Raw genomic sequence first — 25,492 nt, forward strand, 5'->3', positions numbered from 1 at the left:
ACCTTCCAGAACAGTGGCCTGTCCCTACCCACTGAGTCATTCTAATGTAGCACTAAGGCAAGAACATGCAGCTTATCTATTTGTATCAGTGACTTTCAAAGCTGCCTGAACAAATGGTTCTGGCTGGATTTATTTCAAAGCATTGACTACGGCAGGCAGAAAGCTTCCTGCCAGGCGGTTATATTTACCACACAAATTTGTCAGCTTAACCAAACATTTCAGTGTGTTAGGAGCAGGAATTTGAATTGATTGATCTAAAGGGCTCAAACACTATGAAAGAGATGAAGGTGCATCAGCTGACATTACAGTGTCTGCACGAGTCCAAAATGATCACTAAATAAATGTTACTTTTCAGAAAGATTGTGCTGTTATCTTATCTCCCTCCCATACTGGGTTTGCAAAAGCAATCGGAGTTTCATGAGTGTTGGAATGTTTAGGCTAAAACACCATGGTGATGTTAGCAACAATTTTGAGGTGCCCTGATATGTTTAAATTATATAGCAAAAATACTATTATAAACTCTGAGCAAAATTGTGGGACACAGGGATCTTTGAATTCTTACTACAGCTTTCACATCACCTCCATTTATATGTACCTGTGTTCAACTTCCCTTTCATTAAAATAGGAATTATTCATTTTCATCGTATTGCTGGCATACTCTCTTCATAATCCAACCTTAGGCTTGCAATAAAAATCTTCACAACCCAAATACCATGAGAATACTTGTGGTTAAGCCTAGAAAATATTAACTGATCACTCAAGAATATATATAACAATTTTCAGTATACTAGAAAAATATCACTAGTTTTTTTTTCAGTATTTTTTGGAGATGAAATAATCATACTGTTTGTAATTGTCTTAACTATTACCAGCTTTATGTAATTTGTCATTTTACTATATTCTACATATGTACTCTAATTTAGTCTGACTTATTTTATTCTGCCAATAGTCATTTGGGGAAAAATTACAGTAGTAAGACAGAATTTTCTGAACATTTAAGATCACATTCAAGCAAGAAACAACATATTTTGCAAATGGGTCTTAGGAATACCCTCAGAGAAGCGTAGGGAAATATTTGAGAAAGGTCTTATGGTTCTGCAAGGATCTTGGAATCTACAAGGCAGATTAATAGCCCAATTATTTCCACAAAGCTATTGCCAAATTTCTTACAACTGATTATTTAAGAAGCAATTTTTAAAAGCCACATTATTTATATTAATTGAATAACAATATAAATGGAGCAAATGGAGTTGATTCGTTCCTCAGTCTCTTGTAAGTCTATTGTGGTAAATTCATTATAGAGAGGAGTTGTATAAATATTCTAATTTCAATTTCTCTAAGTCATAACTGAATACCAGCTTAAGTTATGTCTGTATGCTTTAAATATTTTTTAAGGTGGTAAACTTTACGAACAGGTTTAGGTTCACAGCACAGTTGAGCAGAAAGTACGGAGTTCTCATAACATTCCCTATTTTCATACATGCACATCCTTCCTCACTATGACCATCCCACGCCTCAATGATGCATTCGTGATAATCAATAAACCTATATTGAGACATGATTATCACCCAAGGTCCATAATTTACACTAGGTTTCACCCTTGGTGTTGTACATTTGTGTTATATGGGTTTTGGCAAAGATATAATGACAAGTATCCATTATAGCATCATGCATGATAGTTTCATTGTCTAAAGAATCCTTTGTGCTCTCCCTATTCATCCCTTCCTGCATGCTGTGCCCTGGCAACCACTCATCTTTTTACTGTCTCCGTAATTTTACCTTTTTCAGAGTACCATGTAGTTCACATCATACAGTATGTAGCCTTTTAAAATTGGCTTCTTTCACTTAGTAATATGCATTTAAGTTGCTGTATGAGTTTAGTAGACCTTTTTTTTTTGGCACCAAATAATATTCCACTGTCAAGATTTACCAGTTGATTTATTCATTTACCTATCGAGGGGCATCTTGGTTGTTTCCAAATTTTGGCAATTGTGAATAGAGTTTCTATAAACAACTATGTGTAGATTTTTGTGGGCATACATTGTCAGTTAAGTTGGGTAAATATCAAAGAGCATAATTGCTGGATCATATGTGAAGAGTATGTTTGGTTTTGTAAAAATCTGCCAAACTGTCCTTCAAAGTGGTTGCACCATTTTGCATTCCCACCAATAATGAATAAGAGTTCCTCTTGCTCCACAACCTGGCCAGCATTTGATATTGTCAGTGTTTGGGATTTTGGCTATTCCAATAGGTTTGTAATGGTACCACATTTTTTGTTTTTATTTTTAATTCTCAAATAACATAACATATGATACTGAATGCATGTTATTAATGTATACTTGCTTGCCATCTGTATATTTATCTTCTGTGATGAGGTGACTGTTTATGTCTGTTGCCCATTTTAAAAATCAGGTTGCTTGTTATTGTTGAGTTTTTAAAAGCTTTTTGCATATTTGGGCTATCATTTTTTTTTTTTAAATCAGTTGCATGTCTTACAAAGGTTTTCTCCCAGTCAGTGACTTGTCTTATTCTCTAATCTTGTCTTTCACAGAACAGAGGTTTTTAATTTTAACGAAGTCCAACTTATCAATGATCTCTTTCATGGATTTTGCCTTTAGTGTTGTATCTAAAAAATCAAAAAAACCTAAGTCATTTAGGTTTTCTCCTGTGTTATCTTCCAGGAGTTTTATAGTTTAGCATTTTAAATTTAGATCTATGATCTATTTTGAGTTAATTCTTGGGAAGAGTATAAGGTCTGTGTCTAGATTTTTTTTTACATGTAGATATCCAGTTGTTTCAGTATCGTTTGTTGAAAAGACTGTCTTTGCTCCATTTTATTGCCTTTGCTAATTTGTCAATGATCAATTGACTACATTTATTAACTATATTTGAAAATAGCTTTCTATTTCTGAGCTCTCTGTCCTGTTCCATTGATCTATTTATTTATTCTTTTACCAATACCATACTGTCTTGATTACTATAACCTTATTTAGTTATAGATTTATAGTAGTAAATCTTGAAATTGAACAGTGTCAGTCCTCCAGCTTTGTTCTTACCCTTAAATATTAGGTTTGCTATTCTGGGTCTTTTGCCTTTCCATATAAACTTTAGACTAAGTTTGTTGATAGCCACAAAGTAACTTACTGAAATTTTGATTCAGATTCACATGGACTCTATAGATCAAGTTGGGGAGAAATTACGTCTTCACACAATCAGTCATATCAATGACCATGGAATATTTCTCAATTTATTTAGTTTTTCTTTAATATCTTTCATCAGATTTTAACTACATTTTCATGCTTAATGGATTAAAATTTGTAAACATGTTTTAATTAAGAGGAAATATTTTTCTCTATAAAGCTCAAATTTGATTTTAAAATGACCAAAGTTAGAATGGACTTCAATGAAACAGGCAGGTACACTTTTTCCAGTTGAGTTCAATTTGTCAATAGCAAGGCCGAAAACACGCATATTGCTTTGAATCTCTTGCAACTTCAGTGCCCTAGGATTGATGTAAATACTTAATTATTTCTGAGTACAGCAGACAATTCTCTCAACACTAGGATAGACTATTTCCTGAAACTTCGATAGAAAGAACAATCAAATGGTGAAGATATGTGAAAGGATATGTTGTTCAAATTAAAAGGTTTGCTAGTTCAGTAAAATTGAAAAAATGTAATATTTATGATCATTTATGATCTTTATGGAACCTTAATGACCTATCATTTGGAGTTTTCTAGCCATTAGTTTATATATTCATTCATTAGAAGTGTATGGAAAACTCATAAAATACAACCAATATAGTAGATTATAACTTTGCTGGAAAAATAGACATTTATAAATAATTATAATATAAGGGAACTGAAAGTAGAGCAATCGATATTTCAAAAATAAGTGATAATTTGAGCTAGTTCTTAAAATATTAGTAGAATTTTTTTCAGCAGAACAAAGGAACTAAAGAGATGCAAGAGAAGAGTGTTTTTAACAAGTATTTGTAGAACATCTGCTAAATACCATCCACATAATTAATATTAATAGGACCATTATCTCCTGCATTTTATAGACATATTTTCTTTTGATCACATATCTCACAAATATTGTAAATGTGATTTTAAGAGAAGACTATAAAGTATGTGTGAACAGAGGAAGGCTCTCTCACTCCACTGTGGGTTTTCAGGAAGGACCATGAGAAATTAGTGTCCAGGGCAAGATCTGTGGGAATAGCAAGAACAAAGGCCAGGAGGTATAGAGAGTACCTTGTGCTCCATGTGCGAAGAACTCAATAGGATGTGAGAGTGGTAAATGATAGAAAATGAGGTTTAAGAGGCAAGCAAGAACACACCCACAGAGCCTTGCAAACTACCTTAAGAACACCAAGATGTCATGGATAGTTATTATCAAGGAAGTAATATGTTCAGATGAGCATTTTACATGACTGTGCCTGCTTTAGCACAGATTGGGAGAAGAGGCAATGTTAGAAGCTGGAACACCAATAAGGCTATTGCATTGATTCAAGATACTATAATCTCCTGAATTAGAACAGTGGTATGGAAAATGAAGTGCAGCAGGAAAGCACACAAAAAAAATGGAGTGGCACATGCTCTGGAGTGAGGAAGCTTTGTTTATTTCTTTGTCAAATCAGCTTGTTCTTTTTTCATATTGTTCTTTCTTTTTAAATTATAGTTTCTATTTCTTCTATCCTTTTATTATTTTGTATGATTTATTTTATAGCATCTTTTAGTTTTTTTATAATCTGCATTTTTTTGTGGTAACAATCTATCAAAAATAGATAATCTATCAAAAAATAGATTTAGAAATCTATCCAAAAATGTATTCAATACTTGTAACCTGTAATTATTAATAATATTGATCTGTGAATGGTGTAAGTTGGAAATTTGTACTTGGATATGAGAGAGAAGCCTAAAGTGGGGAAATTATCCTCATAAAGCAGAATAAAAAATAGCTTTTAATAATTCCATATTTTCAAAAGATAATTTTCAAGGGTGGTTAAGACACAGGTTGGTATTAGGATACAAGAGACAGGAAAAGAAGTGAGGAAATATTTCAAAACTCTAGGAATCAGCAGTTGATGACCTAAACTGGGGCACGGACAATGAAAATGGAGACACGGAAACACATCAGAGACAGAAAGATCAGGACTTGGTGGCCATAGGCATTTAGGATAAAGAAGGATGTAAATTTAAAGATAACTCACCTGAGTGACAGATGAGGAGGTGATATACTCAGCTGGAGAATATTGAAGGAGGAGAGACATGTTGTCGGGAGGGGTCAGGAATGAGTTCATTTGTGGATACTCTGCTTGAAGTGGCTCAAGGAAGCTCTGAAAGTGGTTGAAGCTAGAAGTAAGGATTTAGAGCAAGCTTGTCCAACCCACAGCCCGCGGGCCATATGCAGCCCAGGATGGCTTTGAATGTGGCCCAGCACAAATTTATAAACGTTCTTAAAACACTGAAATTTTTTGTAATTTTGTTTTTTAGCTCATCAGCTATCATTAGTGTTAGTGTATTTTTTGTGTGGCCGAAGACAGTTCTTCTAATGTGGCCCAGGGAAGCCAAAGGACTGGACACCTCTGATTTAGAGGTCATCAATTTGGTTTAGTTTTTGTGAATAAATAACATTTCAGGGGGGTGAGGGAAGAAACTATAATTGTAAATAGGTCAAGAATTGAATCGTGTGAATGAAAGAGAGTAAAAACAGAGTTTTAAATGAGTTCAGTTGGCTGGATTTGCACTGATAAAACATGAGGAAGTAACTAGGTAGAAACTGGTTTGCTTTTCAGAGCATTCATGTTTAAGCCAGTCCCAGAAAATTGTTCATGTTAACTCAAATTTATAAGTGATGGAAGACTACTTAAAACCAACTGATTCACTAGCTGTGTGGTCTTGGATGAGTTATTGAACCCTCTAAACGCAGGCATATACACTTCTGATTCAGGAGCTACATTTGTATGTTTGTTACATGGATATATTGTGTGATGCTGAGGTTTGGGCTTCGATGGAACCCGTCACCCAGATAGTGTGACGGGTTTGCTCCCCTCCCTTCCTCCCCACTTTTTGAGTTCCCAGTGTCTGTCATTCCCAAACTTAAGTTTATTTAAATTTTAAGTATTGAAAATAAAATTTTGTCTATAATTTTATCAAGCACTAGATGCAGTTTTTTAAATCATCACACATGGGAGGCACACAATAAATAATATTTATTCATAATGGTTCCAATGATAAAATGACTGCCAAGCAGACCAAGATATATCTGCTGTTTTTGCTATGCATCTGGTTTACAAAATAAGTCAATATACTATTCAAAGAATTTCATGGGATACTAGTATGTTTTCAGAGTCTGCTGGTGAGCACTGAGTGACAGAAAGGTTAGCTGGGGGAATTAGGCAGTGATTCTGTATCATAATTGTAGCTCTGAACCTTCTTCGAAACTTTGATTTTTTATGTGTATACATTCCTGAGCCCTACTGACTTCATGCTAGACACTGAAATTACCAGAAAACAACAGCAAAATGAAAAGGTATAGTTTCTACTAACATGGACTTTAAGTAGGCTTGGAGATACACGCACCCACGCATGCATGCACACACGCACACACACAATATAGCTACTCAAAATTTTCCTGGAGCTCGAAATTTCCCTGGGTTTCAAAACTATAGATTTTAAAAAATTTCTAGGTTTTGTGTATATTACAAACCTTGTAGTGTTAGAGAATGACAGATTAAGGAGGGAAAACTTTTATCAAGTAAATATCCCTGAAGGATTTTCCTGTAATTAAAATTTTTTAACATTTGTGATAAATTACATAAATCACTACACTTTACATTGCCAGCAGAAATCAGGTTAGACTTTTACATCTTTCAACTTCTGGGTCTGTCACTCATTTCTTTTAATGTCTACATTTTTAATGTTGCTTTAGGCCTGCTGTCTCTACTTTACTAATTGACATACTTTCTTTTTCTTTTTATTCTACCCATTTGGGAAACTCATTTATTTTTCTTCAATCATCTTTAAAAAATTGACCATGGTTCATCACAGTTTATTACCCAGTGACTCCAAAATCAAGATGACATATTTGATATAAATGTGATCATGTTCAGCCACCATTGCACAACATTGATAGAGGATCAAAGCGTACCCAACATTATGATATTTCCTTGTACTCTTTACTGACTTCATTAGCAAACTGAGCTTTGTAATTTGGCTTCCTCTCCCTCTTTAATCCCTCCAACACGGTTACTCTCATAAAACAAGTCAAATTCACTTTCTGTGAACTCCAAGGGATTGTTCAAAATCAAGACCTTATTGATGGATTGATGTTTGAAGTAAGTAAATAACAGGATTAAAAATATTTTTGCCATATAGTGATATTATTTTATATTTATATTTTTGTAGTAAGACTAAAGTAGGTCACACGCTGAATTTTGATGGCTCTTTAGAGAGCCGTACAATTTCATTGCTTCCTATAATCAGGACCAATAGTACCCATAAACACATGCTTATGTTAATTGAGGGAACTTAACGATTTTTAAAAACTCTATGATACAGCATTTACTAAATATTTGAAATTCTATGTTGTATGCTAAGAAGTTATTTCTAAAGAAAGGCCCGGTGTGGGGGCCTGTTGTGCGGTGGGGAGAGGGAGGAGGGATAGCATTAGGAGATATACCTAATGTTAAATGAAGAGTTAATGGGTGCAGCACACCAACATGACACATGTATACATATGTAACAAACCTGCACGTTGTGCACATGTACCCTAAAACTTAAAGTATAATAAAAATATAAAATAAAAATAAAATGCATAGGACATTGTGCACTAAGACACAATGATAGCACTGATTCTGAGATCTGGCAAAACTTTGTCATGACCTATTACTGGATGAAACAGCAACGATGATCTATCTTTATATGAAAAGTTCAGTGCTACCTTTCTGTACCACAATAATGGATATTGGGGTCCTTGTCTGACAGTTTATTTCAGAACTGAGCCAGGAAGAGGGTATACACTTCCCTGATCACTGCTGAAGGAAAGCAAAGGCTCATGCTGAAAGCCACCATCTGCATGATACCAAACACCACAAAGTTGGCTATGCCTCCCTGCACAAATACATTGATGCATTTGTATGGCTTAAGTCATCGAGTTAGTTTCAAAAATGTTTGTAAAATTTGTTTGACTTTTGACTTCAAACTATACTACAAGGCTACAGTAACCAAAACAGCATGGTACTGGTACCAGAACACAGATATAGATCAATGGAACAGAACAGAGCCCTCAGAAATAATGCCGCATATCTACAACCATCTGATCTTTGACAAACCTGAGAAAAACAAGCAATGGGGAAAGGATTCCCTATTTAATAAATGGTGCTGGGAAAACTGGCTAGCCATATGTAGAAAGCTGAAACTGGATCCCTTCCTTACAGCTTATACAAACATTAATTCAAGATGGATTAAAGACTTAAATGTTAGACCTAAAACCATAAAAACCCTAGAAGAAACCCTAGGCAATACCATTCAGGACATAGGCATGGGCAAGGACTTCATGTCTAAAACACCAAAAGCAATGGCAACAAAAGCCAAAATTGACAAATGGGATCTAATTAAACTAAAGAGCTTCTGCACAGCAAAAGAAACTACCATCAGAGTGAACAGGCAACCTACAAAATGGGAGAAAATTTTCACAACCTACTTATCTGACAAAGGGCTAGTATCCAGAATCTACAATGAACTCAAACAAATTTACAAGAAAAAAACAACCCCATCAAAAAGTGGGCAAAGGATATGAACAGACACTTCTCAAAAGAAGACATTTATGCAGCCAAAAAACACATGAAAAAATGCTCATCATCACTGGCCATCAGAGAAATGCAAATCAAAACCACAATGAGATACCATCTCACACCAGTTAGAATGGCAATCATTAAAAAGTCAGGAAACAACAGGTGCTGGAGAGGATGTGGAGAAATAGGAACACTTTTACACTGTTGGTGGGACTGTAAACTAGTTCAACCAATGTGGAATTCAGTGTGGCGATTCCTCAGGGATCTAGAACTAGAAATACCATTTGACCCAGCCATCCCATTACTGGGTATATACCCAAAGGACTATAAATCATGCTGCTATAAAGACACATGCACATGTATGTTTATTGCGGCACTATTCACAGTAGCAAAGACTTGGAACCAACCCAAATGTCCAACAATGATAGACTGGATTAAGAAAATGTGGCACATATACACCATGGAATACTATGCAGCCATAAAAAATGATGAGTTCATGTCCTTTGTAGGGACATGGATGAAATTGGAAACCATCATTTTCAGCAAACTATCGCAAGGACAAAAAACCAAACACTGCATGTTCTCACTCATAGGTAGGAATTGAACAATGAGAACACATGGACACAGGAAGGGGAACATCACACTCTAGGGACTGTTGTGGGGTGGGGGGAGGGGGGAAGGATAGCATTTGGAGATATACCTAATGCTAAATGACGAGTTGATGGGTGCAGCACACCAACATGGCACATGTATACATATGTAACCTGCACATCGTGCACTTGTACCCTAAAACTTAAATTATAATTATAATAAAATTAAAAAAATAAAAAAAAGTGAATTAAGACTCCAGTAAAAATTTGGAGCCAATTTGAGTAGACAGCTCTCAATTCCATTTTTAAAATATCAAGGGATATAGATTTTTTTAAAAATTTTTATCTAAAGATCTTTAAGTATTTTTATTTCTTTATATCTTATTTTCCATAATAAGCATGCCTACATGATTTATGTGGAAAAAAAAAGGCCCGGTGTGAAAAATGTTTTCTAGGAGAATGATATTAAATTGATATATAAATATATATTATGTATACCTTACCAAGTGAGCACATATTTCCTTAATGATAAATGATACTTCTAAAGCAGAAAGCAAGACTGTGAAGCAAAGACCTGCAAATGGATGCAATTTAGTGAACAAAAGAGGGATGCGACTGCCTGAACATGCACAGGAGTCTGAAGTGGTCAGGTCTGGGGCACACTGAGCATGTGTCCTGGGAAATAGTGAAGCAGGATGAAGGTGGAGGGCATTTTTGAGTGGGAAGGTGTTGTGGAGGCCAGGTTAAAGGGAAAGTATGGAAATGCACAGGGAAAAATACCTTGAATTCTTAACCGTTTGGCCCAGGGTGAACACTTGGTGCAAAGAGAATTCTAACACTTCCAGGAATGTTTTAAACAATGCTGTTTTTGCTTTGGAGCAGTTACTTATATTATCTGGCATACCTTGTTCAATATTGAAAGCTATTTCTGATTATCTCTAGTTTTTTTTTTTTTTATCCAAACTCTCAGAGCATCATCAAGTGTATTATAGTCTTAGCCTTTGTAAGAATTGGTAAGTTCACAAAACATTTTATTTAGTGCTTACCTTGCACAAGGCTTGAGAGATTTTAAAAAGGTGCATAAGGAAAATTCCTAACCTCAAAACATGCATATTACAATCACTAGACTTTAATGGATAGAGACAGCCTTGTAAATAAATAATTCTCTTGATATGATATGATAAGTACAGTTAGAGACAGGCATATTCAGAGGCTACAGAGCATAGAGAGAATAAATAGCTAGTTTCATCAATAGTAAATTTCACTCTGCTCTTTTTAAGGAACTTACCTAAGGAGACTTGGAAAGAAGACAAAAACTGTCTTTTAATCTGTTATGATTGTAATTTAATTCAGAAAAATGCTCATTCCAAAAAGGGAAATTCTGAAATAGTTTACCAACATTATAGTTCAGAAAAAGACATTTAATGATGTTGAATCTAAAGACTAACTTTTCAAATTGTCCATTATTTGTTAATAAAAAACATGAAATGATATAAATTCCAAAGGAAAAGATAAGGCATTTTTATTAATTCATCCATGAGGGAGCCTGAGAGAAACTTTGTGATTGTGGCTTTTTTAATCTCAATTTTTTTTAAAGAATCATGGATTAGGGCTATAGTTGGGTTTATTGCCATGTACGTCAATCGATCGTAATTGATTTAGTAGTGTTTGAGGGACTGTGGGTACTATTTTCTAGTTTAAAAAGTCTCTATAACTTTCTGTCACAGGATCTGAAATCACCAGAGATTTCTTAAATGTTTAGGTCATTCCAGAAGTCCCTACTTAAAATTTGCTTAGAATGTCTACTAGTTTCCTATTACTGCTGTTTTAAAAAAATTACCACAAATGTAGTGGCTGAAAACAATGTAAATATATTATTTCACAATCCTGGAGGCCAGAAGTTGGAAATCAGTTTCAATTTGCAGAAATCAGCGCGTTGGCAAGGCTGCAGTCTTCTAGGTGCTCTAGGGGAAAATCCATTTTTTGCTTTTTTCAGTTTCCAGAGGCTGCCTAAATTCCTTGATTAATGGCCTATTATGCCATCTTCCAAGCCAACAGCCTAGCATCATCTTTCCTCTCTGATCCCTGCTTCTGTTTCTACTTCTTCACTCTCTGATCTTACCCTTTTGCATCTCTCTTTTGAGGATCCTTGTGTTTACATTGAGGCCACCCAGATAATCCAGGATATTCTACTCATCTCAAGATCCTTAACTTCACAGCTACAAAGTTCCTTTCACCAGGTAAGGTAATATATGTGCAGATTCCAGGGATTAAGATGAGGATATCTTTTGAGGGTCATTATTCAGGCTATCATAAAGGTAATACTTTAAATGTTGCTGTGATCCATAAATATTATCTCAGAGAAGACTGTAAGGACAAGGTTCTTGAAGAAACAGACTAAGTACTAGAAGTCAAGGCTAGATTGACAAAACAGGCTAGAAAGGACATGCTTGATTTTTTTTTTCTTAAAAGGAAAACTACCACAAAAGGGTAAAAGGAAGATTCCTCCTCCTCCAAACTATACTGTGTAATTTTTTAAAGTACAAATTTCTAAGCAATGAGAAGGTCATAATTTTATCCACTTTTCTTTAGCTGATGCTATTGCCATGCACCTTATATATTTAATGACCTTGCAAATGTGAATTCCAAAAATAGGGTTAAAACTATGGCAGAGAAAAGTAATAATAATTTTTGTGTTTTTTTCTTTCTGCATTGCTTGTTCTTCAGAAAGGTATTTGGTTATTTCAATAAATGACTTTAGAATTTAAAGCTTAATTTTTTTAAGTTATTCTGAAAAGGACACTGGAAATAAACTATCCCACACACACATTTTTACTGAGAAAGTACAGTGTGTCATAAGTAATTTATATTTGTGGTCTAAGATCATACTTGGTGGCAAACCCAAACCTGGTACACAGGTTTCCTGTCTTCCAAATGAGTTCTCTTTCCACTGGATCCATTAGCTCAATGATTTGCACTTGAGTTAAATCTCAGTGCAATATACAAACTACCCATGGGCATCTTCCTTTCATAAACCCATTAATATGAGAGCCAGGAAACATTTTCTCAGTACATTCAATAAACTCCACTGATGTACTTGGCTCTGTGGGGACCCATAAAGGAATATCATGCTTGTCTTCCAGAAGTGCTTCTCTCCATTGCTAAGAACTTGAAAATACCTGAGATAGACTGCTAGGAATTCTTCCCAAAAAAATCCATAGATCATTTCCCATAGTAAACAAGCAATCCTATCTAACCTTTTTCCCTTGCTATTTTGAAGCCAAGATTTACCCTGAAGCAAAAAGTTGTTTGAGCAGGGGGTTATGGCATGGTCATGAATAAAGAGACATTGCTTATAAACTCTGCTAACTTGAATGATTCACTTTCCAAAAATGAGCAGCATAAGGAGAGTACTTATTTATTTATGCTTTATAATATCCAAGCAAACAAAAATAATTTTTGTACTGTTTTTGAATTGCGCAGGCATTCCATACACTTTTGAGAGCTAATACCCTGAACAATCTCAATTTTTTTCTGTATACCCTCCACCCCTAAACCCTACTTTGTCCATCTCTGCTGTGCAGTATCCCCCAGGAGACTGACACAGGCTCTTGGGACAGCTGGCTTCTGGTGGAGGGACAGCTGGCTTCCAGTGGATTGCCCAATCGGAGGCACCAACAGGAGAAAATAGATAGGACAGTGAAAAGCAAGGGTTCAAAAGCAAGGATTCTTGGGGGCTTTTCTCCATTCTGTATTGGTCTGTACCCTCCTTGAGTACAGCTATGTTAGGCGACAGCTCTTCCATGGCTCCTACTGTTTGTGATCTCACGATGGGAATCACTGTTTCTCCCTTTGCCCCTTCAGGCCTATCAGTGGTCATGACTTTCTCTGTTTCAAATCTCTGGGTGTATCCCTTAATCCAGCCCACTCATCTGTAACCAGTCTGTTTATTAAGCTTTGCCTTAATTAATATGAACCACTTGAATTGAATTTTGCTTTGTAATAGGCTTAAGTCGTTGACATGCGTCTTTCCTGCTATGTAAGAGGAAACTCAACAGCGATTTGAACGTCTTTGGAGCCCCTGTGCTCTGTTTTCTGCCTATTCTACTCCTCCCTCTGGTTGGCTCACCCTATACTAATGGTGAGGCAGGGAAAGGTGCTCAGAAGCAGCATGCTTAAATCCCTCTGAAATGAATTGACACATTTCCTTTTCCCAGTCCAGTATCCCATGTTTCTGTGGGTCTTAAGCCCTGGTAAGTAGAATAGCCCAGAAAATGTGGATAAAAAACCACACAATTTATTACTTTGGCTGTCCTGGCCTTGTTTTAACCATTTTATATATAAGTCCTATTGTTTTACTTCATGGCCTCATTCTTTTTCATGGAGCAAATCCAACCCAAACGCCTCTGTAGACCTTCTCCCAAGGTAGAGTTAACTGAGTATGGTTGGCCTGCCTAGCAATACTATTTATTTGATTTGCAGGTCTCTTTCTTAATGACAATGTAATTACTCAAATGTCAAAAGTTCTCTGCCAAGGCAACCAAGTGTATAATATGTACTGTATAGTTTTGACCAGGACCTTGAATTCAAGTGGGTCATTTTATTTCTGTATTCTTGGTAATAATGCTTGTGCTAATAGGAATTTGCACCATTCTAAGACTTTGTCTTTTGAAATTTTTCTTTCCTGTTTTGTGTCTCTCTTTCTACAGTGTCTGTCTCTCTCTTCAAGTTCTGGTTAATCTATACTTTCTTCTAGATTTACCACCTTAATTTTCTGTTGCTTTCTCCTCTTCTGATATATTAGATCTCTCTCTAGATGAGCTTTCACATTCAATATGTTTGCCTCCTGATAACTTCAAAAATATATTCGGTATATTTATTTAGGGAAAATAAAAATGTAACCCGTATGTAACAATAGAAAATGAAATACAGGGACAGGATTTTTTGGCAATATAATTGTGGCACTTTATGCAAGTAAAAATTAGATAATGTTGTATGGATAATGGATGATGTAATATATGCCTATGTAGTTATTTAATGCATCTTAACTTGAGATTTTAGACGCATTAAAATACACACATTTTACTTTGTTCAATGGTCATCAGATTTTTGAAATTTCTCTCTTTGTAGTTGTTAGAGCCAACAGAATAAAGGGATCTTGGAAAGGTGTATATTATTCTTCTAGCATTTATTAACCATCTATACTGGTCCAAGAATTAGAATAGATTTTGGTATTACGAAATTTAATAACGCAAAGTTCCATCCTCCAGCTACCCTCTGAGGAGTCAGAGATTTTTAATGGATCACGAGATGGAGTTTATAGCATCTTGGTAGACGTTGTTAGGGTAACAGAGGGAAAGAGTTAATAACTCTGAGGAGGGTGACCAGGCACATTTTCTACTAATAGTGAGGGTGTTGAAGGATGAATTGCAATGCATCAGGCAGGGACTAAGGAAAAGTATTATATAGAGGAGAGCTCCATGTGTGACAAGACATACAGACAGGAAAGAGGCTTGTCACAGGGCTTGGTGGTGGGTGGGTGCAGAGGGAGCAGCTGTGTCCCTTATTCAGCATCCCACCCTCTCTTGTTATCTTGGCTCTATCCTTTCCCTCTGTTACTAGTTCAGGAGGCTCGGAGTCTCACTCTAGCTATTGCCCTACATTGCCCTCTTCATATCACAGCACAGACCTCAAGATAATGTTTGGAATTTACCTCTTAACCATCCACTCATCAGCAATGGAAACTAGATTCAAACAACCAGTAAAATTATTCTGTAAATAATGGCCAATAAAGGTTGTGCTTACAGACGCAGTGGAATCTTTTTAGTTCTCATGTAATTTAGCTAGGGATACCAGATAAATACAAAATAATTTGCATCTTAAATGGTAAATTTAAATTTAATTAGTAAAATCTAAATTTCCAATAAAATAGCTACTTTTTAGTGTAAGCAGTTTTTGTGATATACTAAAAAATATTTGCTGTTTATCTGAAATTCTAATTTAGTTAGGAGTCCTGTATTTTTCCACATTAAATCAGGCAACCCTAAATTTCCCCCTTCGGATGAGACTCTGTGAACCTCTCACATTCTCTCTCCCTTAGCCTGTAAGTTGCATTAAAAAACAACAACAACAAAAAAAAACGGTTCTCCTGGTCTCACTTTTCTTCTTCCTCTAGTAGCCCATCTCTAGTTATTCTTGTTCTCTAGGGCTCTGCTCTTTGTTCATTTCTTTATGCCAACATGCTTTTCCTGGACAATTTAATTCCCTTTCTTGGTTTTTACTGCTATTCACCTATGACTTCCAAATCTCTCCCACCATCCAATATCTTGCCTTTGACTTCCAGACCTGTCTATCCAGTGCCTACTGGATGTTTTCCTCTGGTTGTCCTATGGGCATCTAAAGCACCAAATAGCTGAAATGAACAAACAATCTTTGTCTCCAAATTGCCTCTCCCTTGAATTCCTTATATTAGCAAATAACACTACCACCAACCAAATTACCGAAGTAGAAACCTGGGTAACGTCTCAGTGTCATTCTTTCCCCTCACTTCCATTGACCATTGCCTCAATCAGCCAACAATGATTCTTTATAATCCTCCTTTACAAAATGCTATAAATTCCCTAGAACCTACTTAGTTGACTTACTTATCTCAACCAGATTAGCCTCTAATGCAATTTCCTTATTTGCCCCGCCCCCCACTCTCTCTCTCTCTCTCTCTCTCTCTCTCTCTCTCTCTTTCTGTGACTCTCTGTGTCTCTCTCTCTCTTTCTCATCAGTCCTCTCCAACATTCTAAAGCTTCTAATTTGAATATATTTCTTAATTGCTTATGTTTTCATAAAGTATATTTTTCAGGATAGGCTGAAAAGTTTAAATTAGATGAATTATATTCTCCACAATCAGATCCCTGCCAGCCTTCCTAGCCTTATCTCTGAGGATTAAAGAAGACATATGACTGGTTTCATTGTTTCTTGCCTTGTGTGTAGCAGGTATTCAATAAGTATTTGTTGTACGAATGAGAGAATGATAGAGATCATTTTTACAGAGTGAAAGCTGTTTGCAATGTTGTCAGAGAAGAGAACATTCAAAGTACAATGATAAGAGTTCTTACATTTGGAAGACTTGATTTGACACATAATATTTAAAAAATTACTTAATAAAGAATTATGATTTTATGGGATTTCTGTATGAATGTCATACATAGAAATATTTAGATACATATAAATCTTAAATGCTCCTAGGAAGATATATATTTACATACCTACTTAAATACACTGAATCTGTTTTACTATTAGGAATAGCCAATAAATATTGACATTCTGATTGTTTAAATCTTCTGAATAATTAATCACTATTTTTCTAACATTTAGAATATATTAAAATACAATCCACACTGTAATTATAGGTGGCATAATTAAACCTTTGTCACATGTAAAGATAGTTCAGAAGACTGTAACATTTAATTTATCTGTTATAATCATTTTGATTTATGAGAAAGTGGAGAAGCCTATTTTCAGATGATATGTATTTTTCAGTTTTCCAAAACTCAAAATTATCACATAATATATAAAATGATTTCTAAGTATGTATATATATCAACATTACTCTCCAGTGATTTTAAGTAATGGAGATTTTTCTAAGTGTAAACCTAAAGACATATTGTTTAGAATATGGTATAAATAAATGTGTCTTTTAAAGTTTAAAGACTACTCAAAGCATTGTTATCTACTAAATAAGTGTGGGAAATTTAATTTAACCTTCCAGATAATGTGTGTGAATGAAAAGAAATTATAAATATAGCATGGGGTGGGGAGGTACTTGCCATTCATAAAATAATTCCCTTTGGTATGCCATAGACTAAGCATTGGGAGAATTCATGATGAATAACACAATTCCATTTGAAGCCTCTGTAGAATTATTTCTATGTAGTTAGTAACAAGTGGAGCTTGGGGTATTATTAGGCAAAATTACAACAGCAGCACACCGCTGTGCAGAGAAAGATCAGGGCATTTCGTCTAAGCAGCATCTTCATAACTCTGGCTCCTAAAACTAATGTTGTGAAGCTTCAGTTCTTTTGAATTGAAACTCTGGGGAATAAGAGAGGGTCATAATTATTAGCTAGGAATTGATGCTAAATTTGTTTATTCACTGATTTTTCCACCACTTTCTATAGTATGTAAATGAGATTTTTACTTAGAAAAAACATTCTGACTCTGAGACAGATGACAGCTGTTCAACCCCAGGGGCAGAAAAAAAACACAGCTTTTTCCTTGGCCTTTTCTTTTTCGTTAGTGCAGCTTCTAGAGCCTCATTGAATTTTCCCAGAATTCCCTGTGCAGGAGCTTTCAAATTCTGATTGATTAGTCATCATATCAGAGCTTACCACTTTGTAGCTCCCCTGCTACCAATTGAACATTATGAACAGGGCCCAGAAAATTAGCTTGCTCAGCACCATTGGGATTGTGGCCTGTTTAGCAATGGATGTATAATTCCCTATGACTCTAGTTAGTAGAATTGGCATCAGAGTGGTATGAATAGAATGTCTTCAGAAAGGAGTCTGAACATCTTTTGCAAGTTGACAATATCGCCTTGAGATACAGGGAGAGGTGTGCGTGTGTGTGTGCGCGCACACACACACACACACGCACGCACACACACAAACATATCTTCCCAGACCTCTTGGCAGAGGAGATTATAGACTGAAGTAGGGAATGACAGAAGCAAGAAAAAGGAACTCATTCTGGTGGGAGATGGGGGAGAGGTGGTTTTCAATGGTTAATTCTTCTACCTCTACCACTTTTAGCCTGTTACAGTCTGCAATATCCCCTTAGAAATGACTCAGTGATCACATTATTGGATCTCACTCTTGTGAAAACCTCCTAAGGCAGAGAGAAGTCAAGTTGTGCAGAAAGTTATCACCTGGCACTGATGATTGATCTTAGGTGTGACATTTTGTTCCTCTTTTCTTATCCCTGGATCTCTTTCCTGCTATGTAGTCTCCATACACAACAAACTTTAACAGCACATTGAGGCATGAATTCATCAAGCATCCTGTGCTCCCTCACGGCATCAGAACACCACTTCCCCTCTGTCTCCTGACAGTGAGCTCAGAAATTAACTCACAATAAGGTGCTGATGGCTAATTTGAAGTTAATATGTAACCTCTCTCAAAATGATGTGGATTTGAAGCAGAGATGTGAAGAGAAAGGCAATATATGAACATGAAAGAAACAAATCACCTCCACTGGTCAAATATCCTGGTAGATGTCTGGAGACAAACCGTAGGGCAGAGGATATATTTATATTTCCTTCAAATTCTAAACATAGGCTGGTCCTAGTGAGAGTAAACAAAAACACATTTATCATACTTATCAATTGAGTTATTATTTTAAAATATGCCTTCCACAATTAAGTTGCCTTGGGTGGATTTGTGTAACATGCCACTAAAAATACCATGAAATAAACATAAATAAGCTAAAATTTTCTTAGCCTTAAATTGCTGTTCTGTTTTAGAATAATATGGGCAGATAAGCTCCACAGCCTCCAAATCAGGAATTAGATGTGTTAACAGCTGTTTTTAAAATATTTTTATGTTAAGGGAAATACACGTAAGTGTACATGAAAATTTCTTGCTTTTTTTTTTTTTTTTACTCTCGCTATAGGTTTTACTCCATGTACATATCAAGATGGATATGTCTATGTAATAAAATATATCATATATTTACATATATGAATACATGTATACTGGGCCAAAAGCAATGCAAAACTAAGGAATTAAAGTCTGCCTTATCTACACTTTCCTCTTCTTTGCTATGTTAGCACAAATGTACTTCTCATTTGAGGGAACATGGTAGAGGAGCTGCCATCCCATCTTAATGGTACTTGATGATGCCATTGAAGAGAAGACATACTATTTATTTGGTGCTTAGCATTTAGCTTTCTTGATATCCATCACTGCTTTACATTACCCTCAGAGACACATCACTGAATACAGTTTTGAATGGTTCCATGCTATGCATGATTTTTATGGGGGTGCACTGAGCTGTGCAGTCTGCAGCCACTGCATTCCAAACAAAAGAAGTAATCATCTAGACACAGAGAAATGGGTTCATTGCCAACATGGAACAGGAAAGATTCAATATTCATGTTTCGACAGACCACTTAACCAGTGTTTTCCTGATAACACGGTGCTAGAACCTAGTAGATATTCAATCAATGTTTGTTGAATGGATAAATGAGTGATTGAATAGATGCATTAGGTATCTTCAATTGGGTCTTTCTTTATCTAGATCTTTAATATAATGCAGTCTATGGAAGATGGGGTTATAGCAATGTATTTTTAAATTGACAAGTATTCATGTTTAATAACTTTAGTTAAAGGAATCATAAAATCCTCAAATTTATACAAATGATAAAGTTTTTTTAACTTATACCTAGTGTGAATTTTTAAATCACTTAATAAACTGTAAAAGTTTATTAAGTTGTACTAAATAATACGATGCTCATTTTATAGATTTTTCAAATTGCGGCATGTACAAATACTGGTTACATAACTTGCTTACCCACTGGCCAAGTAGGTTTTTGCTCTCCCTTTCTCATATTTCTGCTCCCTAAGTAAAATGTTACATCCTTGCATCTTTCATTTCCAGAGCTCCAACTCTCTGCCTCCTTATTTCTGATTAGACTAGCATGAGATTTCCTTTCTTCCCATATTTTGTGTTCCATGCATTCACAGAGAGACAGATCTTAGCACCTGAAGAGACCTTAGTGATCTGCAGACTGACTTGCTTCTTGTGGTGAGAAAGGTACCATCTTTACTATGTTACAGAAGAAATTCCCAAGAGGCCTAGAGTATGTAGGATTCACATGCTGGTGTGAATAGAGAAGAGGATGCTAGACCTTCAGGATACTTTTTTCTTCTTTTCTTAACCAACACATTTTCACTGGAGGCTTATTTATCTTTCATTTCTATAGGAGTGATAAAACTGAATGTTTTACAATTTCATTCGGTAGATCAAAGAAGATTCATTGAATGTTTTCTCCTGTGCTTTGGGCACACTCATGTCCTGTTGTATGTGTGGCGGAGGTGTGTGTGTTTAAATAACAGATGACCCTTTATAATGGGTACAGAAGATAGATAAAAATTGTTAGTGTATTAGAACTTTTTATGCCAATGCTTATTTTTAATTGAAAAAAATACAGTGAAGAATATATTATACATGTATATAATATTGGTTTTATTTTTATGATAAAGCAAGAAATGTAGATACTAAGGTGTGTTCAATTAAGGACAGGCCAGATACAAATTTTCCTGCAGCTTGAAAATCTTGTCTACATATCCTAAGAAAGCATCTTCTGATATTGTTCACGTAGGTAGCATAATGTCCTGAAAGTCAAGATGCCTGGGTCTTTTATCTGGTGCTAGTATTGCCGGGTGGGAGATTGAGGCATGAAATAGGTTGTCATTAAGGTCCATTCCAGCTTTAACAAGCTATTAATGAAATGTTGATTGTCAAACAGAAAATGTGCATTTTGTTGGTTGACGGAGCCACATTTGCATAAGGCTGCCCCAAACCACTCTGACTGTTAATAAATGCCAGAGGACTTGCAGCAAATCAAAACACAAGTGCTGATAAAATGAATTTATAAAAAAAGAGTGATTATTTTGCTTGAAAAGCCACAGGGTGGCCTGTAGAATCTAATGCAGGGAGGCTCTGAGAATATATGAGAATAAATAGTAACAGTGTTTTCTGAGCCCACGTTGTAAGGAGAATCTAAATGATCCAGTATGTTACCCTGTCATTTTCCACTTGCAATGTAGACAGCTAATTTTTATTTTTCAGTTTTCATTTTAAAACAAAACCAAGAGATGATGACTGCAGTGTAAGACTTACTTTCCTGTTGGGAGGAAATTGCACTGTGGGCATGATGTCTTTAACTTTAACCTTTAAAAGGTATAATTGACTTGTAGTAATTTTAGGTTAAATTATATTGTGCTGTGAGTTAGGTCACATACAAAACACTCCAGACATTTATTACGGATATGTTAAAAGTTTGTTAGATTTTATTTCCAGAGGATTTCATTTAACAGATTTCTACTCTATATTATACTCGATCTCCTGAACAATATTAGAAACAGAGGACGGACCTTGTTTCTCTTTTGAATTTTCTGCTTCCTTCAAGCCATCATTGTTGACCCTAAAGAAAAAAGTCCACTTCATATTAGCCTTCTTGGTCTACCACAATAGAACATCACAAACTAGTAACCTCGACCACATATAATTATCTTTTTACAGTTCTGCAGGCTAGAGATCCAAGATCAAGGTGCTGGCAAGGTTGGTCTTGGTTGGGGCTTTCTTCTTGGCTTGCAGATGGCTGCCTTCTCACTGTGTCTTCACAGGGAAGAGAGAGAGAGCTCTGGTGTTTCTTTCTTTTCTTATAAGGATACAGTCCTGTTGAATTAGGACTCTACTCTTTTTTTAACTTTTATTCTAAGTTCAGGGGTACTCGTGCGGGTTTGTTGCATAGGTAAACTTGTGTCATGGGGGGTTGTTGTACTGATTATTTCATCACAGCTATTAAGACTGATACCCATTAGTTGCTTTTCCTGATCCTCTCCCTCCTCCCACCTTCCACCCTCTGATAGGCCCCAGTGTGTGTTTTCCCTTTGATGTGTCTGTGTGTTCTCATAATTTAGCTCCCACTTATAGGTGACAACATGTGGTATTTGGTTTTCTGTTCCTGTGTTAGTTTGCTAAGGATAATGGCTTCCAAATCCATCCATGTTCGTGCAAAGGATATGATCTCATTCATTTATGGCTGCATAGTATTCCGTGGTATATATGTACCACATGTTCTTTATCCAGTCTATCATTGATGGACATTTAGGTTGATTCCATGTGTTTGCTATTATGAATAGTGCTGCAATAAACACATTTGTGCATGTGTCTTTATAATATAATGATTTTTATTTCTTTGGGTATATACGCAGTAGTAGGATTGCTGGGTCAAATGGTATTTCTGCTCTTGGGTCTTTAAGGAATCACCACGCTGTCCTTCACAATGGCTGAACTAATTTACACTCCCACCAACAGTGTGTAAACATTCCTTTTTCTCTACAACCTTGCCAGCTCCTGTTATTTTTTGACTTTTCACTAGTAGCCATTCTGATTGTTATTGAATGGTATATCATTGTTGTTTTGATTTCCATTTCTCTAATGATCAGTGGTGAGCCTTTTATCATATGATTGTTGGCTGCATGTATATCTTCTTTTGAAAAGTGTTCATGTCCTTTGCTCACATTTTTATAGGGTCATGTTTTTTTTTTGTAAATTTGTTTTTCTTTATAGATGCTGGATATTAGACCTCTGTCAGATGCATCATTTGCACAAGTTTTCTCCCATTCTGTAGGTTGTCTGTTTGCTCTGTTGATAGTTTCTTTTGCTGTGTAGAACTTCTTTGGTTTAATTTGATCCTACTTGTCAATTTTTGCTTTTGTTGCAATTGCTTCTGGTGTCTTTGTCATGAAATATTTTCCTGTATCTGTGTCTTGAATGGTATTGCCTAGGTTGTAGGACCCCACTCGTTATCCTTCATTTAACCTTAGCTAGCTACTGAAAGGCTCTATCCACAAATGCAATCATATATGAGGTTAAGACTTCAATATATGAACTTTGCAAGATGACACAATTCCATCCATGACAACATTTAAAGCTCATTTACAAATGTAATCTCTCCCTTTCACAAATATCTTAATTCAAAAGCTGAAGATAACTTCACATTTTATTTTCCAGTCTGACTCCAGTTGTAAAATAAAACATTAGCCCAATGGTTTCTTCCCCCTGAGGATATTCTATTCTGATATCTAACTTTTAAATATATGTTCACTTCTTAAAGTAGAGGGATAATAGCCACCATCTGTTTTCACTATCTTACATATGCAAACACAGAGAGCTTACCTCTGCATCTATTTGTGAAGGGTACACAGTTCTTCAAATGAAACCTGTAAAATGAGATATAATGTTTTACATTATTCTGGAATGTCCTCTTAAGTTTGTAAACCTTAACTCATTAATTCATGCGATAAATTGTTAATAAACACTTACTCTGTGTCAATCACTATTCTAGGCATTGGTGTGACAATGGAGAACAAAGTTTCTCCCTCAAGGTGCTCAAAATGCCCTAGTCTAGGTAATAAAATACATGGTCACACTTCTCGTGCAGAAAAATCTCCTTTTCTGTGTTTATTGTTTTATGTCATCTTTTTTTTTCTTACCCCTCATAACTAAGCTCAGTCATTTTTGCTGGGAAAAATATTGAGAGGAAAATGAAATGAAGTGTCTTATAATGTGCTCATCTGTAAACTGATGGATAGACTAGAACAGTGGTCTTCAGTCCTAGCTATCCATTAGAATTACCTGGGGAGCTCTAAAAATATACCCTACCTGGGCCCCAGGGATTCTGATTTATTTGGTCTGTGACATGTCCTGCCCATGAGGACATTTAAAAAGATCCCAGGGTGATGCCAATGCACAGCCTGAATTGAGACATGGAATGAGGTGATCACCAAGATTCTTCATTGATCTCAGTGTGTGAATTCTTTGGTTTTCTGCCCAGATGTAAAATTATGTTCTAGAATAAGTTGGAAAAGTCATTCTTGTTCCTCTGTATGTGTGTATCCTAGGGGCTATTAGTGATGCTTTCAAGAAAAGCATATCTGGGCCGGGCGCAGTGGCTCATGCCTGTAGTCCCAGCACTTTGGGAGGCCGAGGCGGGTGGATCATGAGGTCAGGAGATTGAGACCATCCTGGCTAACATGGTGAAACCCCGTCACTACTAAAAATACAAAAAATTAGCCGGACGTGGTGGCAGGCACCTGTAGTCCCAGCTACTCGTGAGGCTGACGCAGGAGAATGGCATGAACCCAGGAGGCAGAGCTTGCAGTGAGCCAAGATCACACCACTGCACTCCAGCCTGGGCGACAGAGCAAGACTCCATCTCAAAAAAAAAAAGAAAAGAAAAAAGAAAAAGAAAAAAAAAGCATATCTGCTTGGCTCTAATTTAGGACAACTCTTTTGTCTTTTGATTTAAATAAAAATCACAAAGATCAAATCAAATTAAATTTGTATAAAATTCAAGTAGTTTACATGTAGCATGAAGTGAGGGGAGTGCAGAGAAGGGTGGGGGTGGCATGATACTGAACTGTACAGCTAAAGAGGCGCTTGTATATCACTCTAAGTGCTTCCGAGTTTATCTTAATGATGATGGTTTTGCCATTGAAAAAGTATTAAGAAGTGGAAAACATAAAGAGATCTATGTTTTGGAAATATCACACGAGAAAGACAGTGGAAAATTGCTGGAAGAGGGGCAAAACCAAAGACAAATAGAGTTCAGGAGAGAGGCAATGCTAGAGCCTTAGTTTAAGGAAAGTAAAGAAAAAAAATAAAAAATAAAGCAAACAGAGAAGTGGGCAACACCTTGAACAAACTGACACTCTGCAGGTCAATGGAGAAGAGAATTTCAACAAGAAAGAGGTGGTCGGCAGCATCAAACTGCATAGAGGCCGAGTAAAAATTGCTACATGTATTGAGTACCGAACAATTTTCTAATTGCTTTATGTGTATTAAGTCACTTAATTTGTATAAGAACTCTGGAAGGTAGCTGTTATTATCAACTCATTTTATACAGGAGGAAACCAAAGTACAGGTGGTATTGTGCCAAAGACCACACAGTTCGTAAATAGCACAGTGAGAGTGTGAATCTGCAGGACTCAATTCCAGAAGCCATGCCCTTAATGACCTGCGAAATGCCTGTTAGGACAAAGAACGAGGACTATATCCACCCTTCCCGCTTTACAGTCTCCTATCCATTGTATCACTCTGTATGCCTTTGCATACCCATGGCTTATTTCTCAAAGTGAGAACATACGGTATTTGATTTTCCATTTTTGACTTATTTCACTTAGAGTAATGACTTCCAGCTCTATGCAATTTGCTGCAAAAGACATTTCATTCTTTTTTATGGCTGAGTAGTATTCTATGGTGTATATGTACCACATTTTTAAAAATCCACTCCATGGGTCGATAGGCATTTAGGTTGGTTCCA

The 25,492-nt window shown here is 36.0% G+C and overlaps 1 protein-coding gene across 5 annotated transcripts in view; it reads left to right on the forward strand.

The window, feature by feature from the left end:
* Nucleotides 1–25,492, forward strand: part of DCC (DCC netrin 1 receptor) — a 1,195,703-nt gene that overhangs the window by 613,300 nt on the left and 556,911 nt on the right. Inside the window, exon 2 of one of the 5 annotated variants that reach the window (XM_011525844.3) lies at nt 11,535–11,630. The exons of the other annotated variants lie outside the window; for them this stretch is intronic. The gene's annotated coding sequence lies outside the window, so the exon portion shown is untranslated. The remainder of the gene's footprint in view (nt 1–11,534; nt 11,631–25,492) is intronic. 5 annotated transcript variants of the gene reach the window in all.

Source organism: Homo sapiens, chromosome 18 (genome assembly GCF_000001405.40).
Source record: "Homo sapiens chromosome 18, GRCh38.p14 Primary Assembly".
Lineage (NCBI taxonomy): Eukaryota > Metazoa > Chordata > Mammalia > Primates > Hominidae > Homo > Homo sapiens.